We start from the raw sequence: 11,388 nt of genomic DNA on the forward strand, positions 1-11,388 counted from the left end.
TAGATACTTTAGAAAACCCCCAGGCTACAAATCTTGCATGCCTTCTTTGCTATAACACCTCAGTGTGCTGTATTTCATAAGGTAGTTAAAATGTACTTAAACCATATTGTAAAATATTTATCCAATGACAGTCTTCATCTTATTTCATTTTATAAGAAGTTCAATATTTTCTGCATCCTAGTAACAAAAATAAATCAATTTATTTAAACTTATGATTAAAACACTTCTAGAAGTCAACTTAAAAATGACTGAAAAGCTGCACAGTTTGTTTAAGTTTCCTTAGTGGGCACATGAGCAAAGAAGTTTGGCACTGAGGTGGGGCTGCTCTCATAGCCCTCATCTGCAGAGTCTGCCCATTCGCAGGGCATATAAACACTCTTTTAGAATACCCAAAAGCACAGGAGAGAAAAAAAATCACTTTATCACTTTGAATAATTAAGTTGTTATTTAGCAACCCTAAGTAATGGATAAAAAAAAGTTTGTGGAAAAAAACCTAGAAGACAATAGTCTTAATGCATTGTGATATTCAAATATATATATCTGAATATTGACCTTTGTCATTTCATTTAAGAAAACCATAAACCAGGGGAAAAAAGAAAAACCTCTGAGTTCTATAGTCACTAATCCTCAGCCAAGAATGTATCTCATTGCTTTGTTTCCCCATGAGTATCCAAAAGTGAGCTTTTCTTAGATTCTATGATCTAAATGTGCCTGATGTAAGCTGTACTATGGAGTCATACCAGGTAGTAAATATCTATATTATTAATAGTATCAAAGCAATAAATGTGTTCCTGACATAGGCTAACCCTGGATATTTATGAGGCACCTGCACAATCTTTTAAGAGTTCATGTTGGCAGAATATGTTGAATTGTTTCTTCTAAAAGCATCTACTAAAAACAGTCCTCTTTTTATTCTTTATTAGGAATTCCAGAAGTTATAGTCTCCTATAAAATCAAAATCATGTGGGAGTAAAATTTATCTTCTTCCAGAAAGTTCCTCCCAGCATTAAAGATGTTGTATTTGTAGAACTTCAAACTGTGGTGGCAGCAACCATCTATGCTGGATTCCAATAGAATTCTCAATTTCAAGGTATCTTGTTTTGGCAACTTGATGACTACATTCAGCCAGATTGGAAATGGTGAAGGCAGATGAAATATCCTTGTTCAAGGAAAGAGAAAATATGTGTCTTTTTTTTTTTTCATCAAAAAGCAGACAATCTCAGGGGCAGCATTTTATCCAAATAACTGCAGACATTGCCTGACTTTTTTGGCATGTAAAGAATGGCAAGAAATAAACTCTGTTTTGGTGGAAAGAATCTATTCCTATTATGTTTTCTAGAAACCTGAGGAATAATCTATCCAACAGTTCATCTATTTGTGTGCCTGGGGAAATTTATTCAAAAAAATTCTTTTCTCTTGCAAATGTGTGAGGTAGTATTGATTTAACCACCATTTCTTACATTTGAGGCATAAAATCAAATGATTGCCTATATGCATGAAGAGTAACAAAAGACTTAGAAAATGATTCCTGCTAAATTACTTGAAAAAAGCCAAAGGGACCACATTTTAGAGAACAAAGAAAGGGGAATAAAAATGATTAAAGATTTTGGTGATGAAAGGAGCTATGCATGTTTGATCCAGAGGAAGACACTTAAATGACAATTATGAAGGGGGACAGCCATCGGTTTTCTTGTTATTCAATGATTAGACACAGTGCAGTAGACTAAAGAATGCCCCCGCGACATGGGCACGGTGGAGGGCAGTTCCCATTACCGCAGCTTCCACAAGCCCTCCACTCGGCAGAAGCAGATGAAGGGCTGTGCTTGCTCCTCCCTCGACTATTTCCTCTCTTTGTTTTCCTTCTCTCCCTCCCTTATTGGTTGCATTCACATTGCCCGTTGCACAGTATTCATTATACTCCTGAGCCCGCTCGGTTCTATTTACTGAGGAGCCTCCATTCATTGTGGGTGTAAACAGAATACATCCGATTTTGTCCAATAAATAACTGCCTCCAAATATTTCTGTGGATCTTCTCCTTTCCTCCTTGCTGATCAACTTCTTAAGAACGTTTTCAGCTGTTTTTTTGTTATTAAAACAGTCTAATGAGTGTTTAAGACATGGTAATATTTGTTTTAAAAATTTCAGTGCCGCTGGATTCAAGCATTTATTCCTTTTCTGTCCTTGGCTCAGGCAAACTCACCGTAAGTGCATGTGTGTGGTGGACACAGAGGGAGGGTCCTAGGGAGGAGGTAGGTATTGATCTGCCCTCACAAGGCTCCTCTCTTTCCTCCCCCAGGTGTTGGCTCCTCCAGTGTTAGGGCAGTGAGGAGAAAGAAGACACAGGCCAATGCCTCCTTACTTGGCTGGCAAGATGTGGTTCCCTCTGTTGTCGTTACTGTTGCTCTGTTACTGTGACCTAGAGACATGGCTTTGTTGCTGTTTTTGTGTCAGGGGCTCATGCACAGGTCTCCAGGAGAACACATGGGGTTATTTGTAGGGTCAACCTTCCCCGTGCAAGGCTTCTGGACTTGGGTGGTGGGCTTTGGCCAGACCACTCACCCGCTCTTAGGCCCTGCCACCAGGCACCAGCCCTGCAGCCTTTTTGTGCAGGGAACTCTTCTGGAAAGTAGCCTCGCCCCATCCTAGGGTGTCCACCCAACTCTCACATCCTTGCCACTCCTCAGGGTGGGAGCCTGGCTGCGTCTGGGCCACCTGCTCCCTCAACCTGCCTCTTTGCTGACCTTCTTCATTTATATCTCCATGTCCCAGCAGCAATGAGCACTCAGCAGGTCCATGGGTCATGACTTTCAAAGAGGAAGAGATCCTTTGTTTCTGACTCTGTGTGAAAGAGTCACCCACCCCCTCTGCAGACTACCTTGGCAATTATCTTAGGATCTCCCTTCCTTGTCTTGGAAGGTGAAAGTATTCTCAGCACTGGTAGCTCTCACTACACCGTGGGGAAAGGTGGCTGGCTCACCAGCTGGTGTCACTCCAAATGTAGAATGTGAGGTGCATGGTGCCTTTAATTCCCCATTAGGACAGCAGGGAAAATCCCATTTGACATTCTGTTACACACAGACTGATCTGGGTAGGTGGCTGAGGCAGCTCCCTGGCCTTTGGCCACTTAAGAAAGAGTCCTGGCCTCTGGTCCTTGCCTCATTCAGTCCTCCTGACAGATATTTGGAACTCGTCAAGCAGCTTATTGGTCCTTGTCAGTCCCGGAACAGTACCTGGTACATGGTACATTTCTTCTTGTAGTCACAAGATAAGAACCAAAATCTCATACTAACTCAGGTGCTCTAGTAATGAATATACAAGAGACTGAGGAGGAGAGACCCAGGGACAGAATGTCCACTGACAGTGCAGCTCCTCTTGCCATTTTCTCAAGGCATGAGCTGCATGTATCCCAGCTCATCTCCTCCCCCCCGCAACCCACAGCTGTCTCTGTAGATCATTTATTATATTCGTCAGAATATTCTGGGATTATTTCCTACCCCTCCCAACTCTGACAAAAGGAAGCATTTGGATTTCTCTGGTTCATGGTACCTTCCACACTTACCTTGAATATTTATGCTTTTCGTAAGTATTCAAAAGTAACAGCTTCCTTTCAATTTCATTGACTGTGTCAGATTATCCAATTCTCAATGTCTCAAGGCAGAAAGCCTATTGACAACATAGCCACATGATTCTAAATTGTGCCACAGTTAAATGTGTAGAACTGTCATTATCACAGAAATCAAAATGTGCACTTCTTTGTTTGTTTGAGACAGAGTCTCACTTTGTCACCCAGTCTGGAGCACAGTGGTGTGATCACAGCTCACTGCAGCCTCGACCTCCTGGGCTCAAGCAATCCTCCTGCCTCAGCCTCCCAAGTAGCTGAGACTACAGGTGTGCACCTCCACACATGGCTAATTTTTGTATTTTTTCTAGAGACAGGGTTTCACTATGTTGCCCAGGCTGATTTGTAGCTCCTACAATCAAGCGATCCACCTGCCTTGGCCTCCCAAAGTGCTAGGATTACAGGAGTGAGCCACCGCACTGGGCCCAAAATGTGTATGTTGATGTAAGGCGAACCAGTGGCAAATCTCAGGCAACTACTCAAGACCCTGTGCTTGGGAACCACAAAAAAACACTGGTGTCTGTGTAGCGGCTTAGAAGATATCTATTGGCGGAAAAGTGACAGTTCAGTAATTGGTGGGGGAGGGATGACATAAAAGTCTTGAACACATAACCAATCTGTAATTTCCAACATAAAAATCTTCAACACACAACCAATCTGTAATTGCTAAAAGTATCACCAAGGAAAAGGGATAAGACTATCTCCTCTTAGACACACTCTCTAGGGAGTCAGTTTATGACTTCTTTCAGCCTTCTCCCACCCCCTGCAGTGATTATAGCCTTGTCCTTAGTGGTTTTACCACCAAGATTCCATCTGGCTTAAGTGTGAACAGGGAAAGGAAAATGAATGAAGAGATACGTTTGCCTGGAAGTAACTTCAAAACTCCCAAATTATAGAAACGTTACAGATGAGCATCTCAGCGAATATGACTCCAGAACTTTTTCAATTCCTTCATTCTATAGGCAAGAAGCTTGTCCATGGCCACAGACATACAATTGGAAATAAAAGTAAACTTCAAAATGTGTCTCTCTTTTCTCTAAAGATTCATGTTATGAATGAATAAGGGAGAAATAGAGCTGCCTAAGAAAACTGTGACCTGATCTGATCTCCTTCCTAAATAGTGCGAATACAATGTCACCCCATTTCTCAATTATATTCTTGCCTACGAAACACACTGAAGGTTTGTTTATGGCTTTGATTTCTTAATTTGCCTGTCTTGATAACAAATTTCTATTGTTATAAATCATTGTATTACATAGTATTAATCTCTAACTCGGTCTCTTGGTGGCATAAAAGAACTAATCCACTTTTTCCTGATTGAAGTGTACCAATGATTCCCTGGAAGTAAGTTGTCCTTCATAAGATTATTTACAGAGAAAATGTTCCCTAGGAACTTAAAGAACAACTTTGGGCAAGTCACTCTGCCTTTCTAAATCTTAATGTCATCTTACATATGATAGTAATAATGATGCTATATTATAACCTAGAATGACTGTTCTAACAATTTTTTTATTTTTTTATTTTATATATTTATTTTTGAGACTGAGTCTCACCCTGTCACATCCAGGCTGGAGTACAGTGGCTCACTGTGACCTCCGCCTCCCAGGTTCAAGCGATTCTCCTGCCTCAGCCTCCCAAGTACTTGGAACTACAGGCACCCATCACCATGCCCAGCTAATTTTTAGTAGAGACGAGGTTTCACCATATTGGCCAGGCTGGTCTCGAACTCTCGACCTCAGATAATCTGCCTGCCTTGGCCTCCCAAAGTGCTAGGATTACAGGTGTGAGCCACCGCACCCGGCCCCAATAATTTATAAACTATAAAATCTGATATAAATATTAATCATCTACAAAATCCTGCTCTAGGGCTCCATACTACTGCACTTCACCCTGTATTATTATTTATTTAATATTCTGGTTACGGAAGGAGACTGAAGAGGTAAAATGAACTCGAGAATGACTATCAACTAGATAAGCATTTCCAAATATGTGATTATACACATGGATTGTTACAAATTTATTTGGATCATTTCTTAACATTGCACTTAAAGTGGAGCTGTATCTGAAAGCACCTGATACATTTTAACTATGTTAAGCCCTCCAGCTTCAGAGCTTCCTGTAACTCCTGGTATAGAGCTCAGCCATTGCTAACTGGAAGCAAAAAGAATTGGATTTTATGATGCAAAAGTCATATCAGGAATTAACAGACACACAAGTCTGACTTTTCCAGAGAAGCAGAAGTAAAAATAATATCAAGAAGCGGCTCCATGGAGCCCTTTCAATTTACAACAGCCGCTGGATAACCCCTCCTTCATTCATAACCAGTGTCTTGAAATTAACCTTGACCCATCCTGCACTCGTACTACTGACCTGTTCCCCAAGGCACCGTGCTAAAGAATTCAATGAATTTGCACTTAACTTTTATAACGATTTTCCTCATTTTAGAGATGAGACAATCTTTTATTTTTTTTGAGACAGAATCTTGCCCTGTCACCTAGGCTGGAGTACAGTGGCACAATCATAGCTCACTGCAACCTCGAACTCCTGGGCTCAAGCTATCCTCCCACCTCAGCCTCCCTAGCAGCCGGGACTACAGGCATGAGCCACCATGCCTGGCTAAGTTTTTCTTTTTTGTAGAGATAGGGTCTCTCTATGTTGCCCAGGCTGGTCTCAAACTCCTGGGTTCAAGCAATCCTCCAGCCTTAGACTCCCAAAGTGCAAGGATTACAGGTGTGAGCCACCATGCCTGGCAGAAAATTATTTTTTTAATGAGAAAGGAGCAGAGACTGGCACTCATGACAGCCCCTGGATATCCTCTCCTTCATTCACAGCCAATGTCTTGAAATTAGCCTTGATATTAGCCTTGACCCATCTTGTACTCCCTCTCCTGACCTGTTCCCCAGTACTAAGCCCTTAGTATAGCTCCACCTTCTATCACCCACAGGCTTCTCCTGACTAAATGCAGTGGTTCTTTCCCAGCCGGGTCTGCACTGCTTCTGGCCACTCTGTTAGACGCAGTAGATGGAGGCTATGCCCTTCCAGGCAAATTTAAGGGTGACATTAACCTATTCGTTTATCAGGCTTTTGCCTCTTTTCACACCTACAACTAGGAGAGAAAGAAGAGAAAACATAAAGCAGGTGACTTTTCTGTTGTAGATCAAGTTTTTAAAAGGTTTGCTCAAGAGGTACTTCATAGTCCCAGTTCTGAAAGGAGGCTGGGATACCTTCCAGATTTAGTCTGCTTTGTCTCTGCTTAACACTGAGACTCTTCCAAATGGCAGCTCCCTCAGGAATATGTGAGCAGCACACACTCTCCCTAACATTTGTCAAAGTGCGTTAGCAACTAATGCTTCATTCCCAGTAATATTTTGAAAATTTCCCTGATGTTAGAGTGAAGGGCCTTTTTTCCCCCATCTGCAACACCCCAATCTTAACAGCCCACCATGCATTTTTGTCTAAGTATCACACCAAGGCCACATTATATTCCTGTGCCCAACAAACTAGAATATATGTAAATAAACAAGTAGAATAAAATATAAGCCACAAGATCATGAAAATTTAGAATGAAAATTTAGATGGGGTTTATTTATTTCATAACTCAGCCAGGAGTTCCATTTGCCTAGACATAAGAGATAACATCTTTATCTATTGTTGTGTGACAAATTTTCACAAACTTAGCAGCTTATGGCAACGTGGATTAATTATCTCACATTTCTGTAGGTCAGAGTCGGGTGGTCTTGGCTGGGTTCTCTGCTTAGAGTCTTATAACGCTGAAGTCCAAGTGTCAGCTGGCTGAGCTCTATCTGGAGGATCTAGGAAACAATCCGCTCCCAAGTGCATTCAGGTTATTGGCAGAATCCAGGTCCTTGTTACAGTAGAACTGAGGTTTCCATTCCCTTGCAGGCTGTCAGCCAAAGGCCATTCTCAGCTTCTAGAGACCACCGGCGTTCCTCATCATGGCGCCTCCTCCATCTTCACGCCAGCAACATCCTGTGAAACCCTTCTTTTGTTTCATGTCTCTCTGCCTCCCTCTTCTGCCACCAACAGGAGAAAGCTCTATGCTTTTAAGGGCTGATGTGTTTAGATTAGGCCTACCTGGATAATCTCCCTCTTAGAAAGTTAACTGTGCCATAGAACACAGGTTATGGGAATTAGAGGACATGGAATCGTGGAGGACATGGAATCCTGGAGGACCATTTAGAATTCTGCCTACACACCTAGCAAGTAGAATTAATACAAAAATTAGCTGGGTGTGGTGGCGGGCGCCTATCATCTCAGCTACTGGGGAGGCTACTCCGGAGGCTGAGGCAGGAGAATCGCTTGAACCCAGGAGGCGGAGGTTGCAGTGAGCCAAGATCGCGCCACTGCACTTCAGCCTGGGCGACAGAGAAAAACTCAGTCTCAAAAAAAAAAAAAAAAAACAAAAATAAAAAATCCTTTTGCTGTATCCTCAAAAGATAAAGGTGTAGTAAGTACCTTTATCTGTAAGTTTTAACAGGCAGAAGCAGTTAGAAATAATACTGAGAATGATGTTTAAATCTCTGCACGTGAAAGTTTAAAAGTTAGACTGAATTGGTCTACCATATGCACACCAAAGAAGTGTATTTTATTTTATTTTGTGTTTGTCCCCCCGATTTTTATTTATTTATTTATTTTTAATTTTGTGGGTACCTAGTAAGTGTATATATTTATGGAGTACATGAGATGTTTTGATATTTGATGTGAAATAAATACATCATGGAGAACGGGGTGTCCATCCCCTCAAGCATTTATCCTTTGAGTAACAAACAATCCAGTTACACCCTAAGTTATTTTAAAATATACAATTAAGTTATTATTGACTATAGTGACCCTGTTGTGTTATCAAATAGTTAATCTTATTCATTCTTTCTCAAAGATGTATATTAAAGAAACAAATTGGCATCCTCCAAAGAAGGTACCAATAATACTTTAGTAACCGATTTTTCTTAATACACAATTTTATAAAATATTCTAAAATATCCCACCTTGTTCTACAAAAAATGTGAGGCCATAATTGTCCTGCTGACCCCACACCTTTAATTTGACAGCCCCTGGATATCTACCCCTTCATTCACAGCCAATGTCTTGCAATTAGCCTTAACCCATCTTGCTCTCACTCTCCTGACCTGTTCCCCAGTTAGTGAGCCTTTAGCACAGCTCCACCTTCTATCCCCGACAGGCTTTTCCAGGATTAACTGCAGTGGTTCTTCCCCAACCAGGTCTGGACTGCTTCTGGCCACTCCATAAGCAACCTGTGAGGAGGTCCAGTCACCAGAGTTTCCCCCTCTCAGCATCACACTGACTGTCAAGGAAACCTTCCCTATGCCCCAGAGATAACTGCTTCTTCCCTGGTAAACTTGTAACTCATGAATTCCCCTTGTTTGCCCTCCCATTTTAGTGAATTTTGTTCTTCCATTTAACCATGATATTAAAGATATTCAATTTATTATTTATTTTACTAATGGCTTATTTAAAATCACTTGTATATATCCCTTATGTTTGGGTCAATATTATCTCTCTTAGATTATGCACCTTCACGGGTGGGTAACAAGGTACCAGCAAGTGTTACAGTGCTTTGTGAAGTATTTGCCCAGGAATGTGGATGATCATGGTGTTGAGATGTTCTGGGTAGATAGTCCCAATTCAATACCATGTATCACACCACATGCCAAAACTTTCAAGGTTAAGATAAGCCCAGGTTTATACATGGGCCATATTGTTGAAAGTTGAGAAGTTGGAAATAAGAATTTTCAGGTGCCTTTTCCTGTATGACTGGAACAAAAGTTGTTCCCATCTAATTTCCTGGAGTGTACAGCCCTTGAGTCCCATAGACTCAAGCCCATCTCAGAGGCCAATGTCAAAAAAATTATTTTTTTCTTGCTGTTGAATATGAATTTTTAATTTTGATTAATAATCGATATATTTGTTCAAGTAAAAGAAAGTCTTCTTCCTCATTCATTGCATTCAATTGTTTTTGTAATGTTGCCAGGTGTGGTTGTACGTGCCTATAGTCACAGCTACTTGAGAGACTGAGGTGGGAGGATCACTTGAGCCTGGGAGGTCGAGGTTGCAGTGAGCTATGATGGCACCATTGCACTCCATCATAAGTAACAGACCGAGACCTTGTCCAAAAAACAAAAAATGTTGACCTCTCTTGGCTCTCTAAATTTAAATACAAACCTTGTGAATTTCCATACTGTTTTTAAAACGGGGGGACTTTAATCAAAGCAGAAAACTTTGCTTCAGAAATAAATCTTGGGAATGTAAACATAAGCATATTTTATCCTTTTTGTTAATAAAAAACATTTCTAAGTACTGTAGTCTTGGCTACAGACTGAAAATAGTCTCTAACATCTTTTAAAATGTTTTGTTTCTTTTTTACTCTATGTCATTAGGTACATTATCTTTGATTCCAGATAACAAAAGTGAAGCAGTACGACAGTGAGGGAATCATTTTCTGATATTTCCAGGATCATCACAATCAACTCGGGGAACTCAGTGTGCAGAAGCCCTGCAGGAGGGAAGGGGCTGTCACTCATCAGTGGTGTCATTCAGACCTTTGCCCCGGACTTCACCGGCAAAATCCCTGTCAGGTCTTTTTCCCTCCTTCTGGATTCCAGTTAAAGTTTGTGGCCAAAATATGCAGTGACAGATGGCTCATGTCATTGCTGTAATGTCAGCCTTTGGGTCTCCGAGGGGATGACTCCAGGAATAGAAAGTGGAGCACATACAGGAGTGGATGTAAAACAGAATCTAAGACAAGCAGGGTCCTCCAGTTCTCAGAGGAATCAGGAACTTCCCTTCTAAACTCATCTAACAACAGGGAGCAGCCCCTTCTCTCTCTCAATGTGCATAGACTGAGACTTGTGCATAGACTTGTGCATAGACTGAGACTTGGGTTCGGTACCTCCTCTGAGCCTTAGCAGCTTGATTTTGAACCTGCTCCTCAATTTTCTCATAAGTAAAATGGGCATCATCATTGTACTTATCTTCTGAGATTCTTGTGGGGTCTAAATAACATCTGAAATGAATTTAGCTAAGTGCTCTGCCCTAGCTAAGCACTCAATAAATGGTAATGCTACTTTCCTCCCACTATTAACTTGGTTTTATATGAAAAAACAATGCATAATTTAACATAAAACAAGAGGCAAAACATAGAAACCCTACTAATTGAAATGTTGTTTTGTTAAAATTCCCAATTCAGATGGGACTTAGACTAAATTAGACTAAAGCCAGCATTTCATTGTGTTATTATAGAACCAGAGGGTTTTCCCACTGAAACAGGCCTGGAGAGACAATTAGTTTTTCATTTCACAGTTGAGGTCTCTAAAGCTAAGAGAGATTGTGGTCTGCCCATAGTTAGATCTAAGAAGCTTCCCTGATAAAATTTCCCATGTTGACCATTGGAATTGGCTCTAATTTTCCATTTTTGTTTGCTTCCTTTTTTGAGAAAACATGTAAAGTTTTCTATCACATGCATTTACAAAGCTATAAGTTATGAAGGATCCTGTTTTTCTCTAATTTGGTATATCCTGATCTTTTCCCTAGAGGTCTGTGTTGGTGCTGCTGTTTTCCAGTTTGTCAGTTTGTCTTGGCATCAGTGCCTCACCATTTGGCACCTGACTCAACATAGTTTTACCACCATTATCTAAACAGTACCACCCCATCTGAATGTATTTCACAACTGGTCGTCTCCGTGCCATGCCTCTGCCTGGGTCTGCTTTCCATTACGTTACCCAACCATCTGC

This window comes from Homo sapiens, chromosome 12, assembly GCF_000001405.40.
Source record: "Homo sapiens chromosome 12, GRCh38.p14 Primary Assembly".
Classification (NCBI taxonomy): Eukaryota; Metazoa; Chordata; class Mammalia; order Primates; family Hominidae; genus Homo; species Homo sapiens.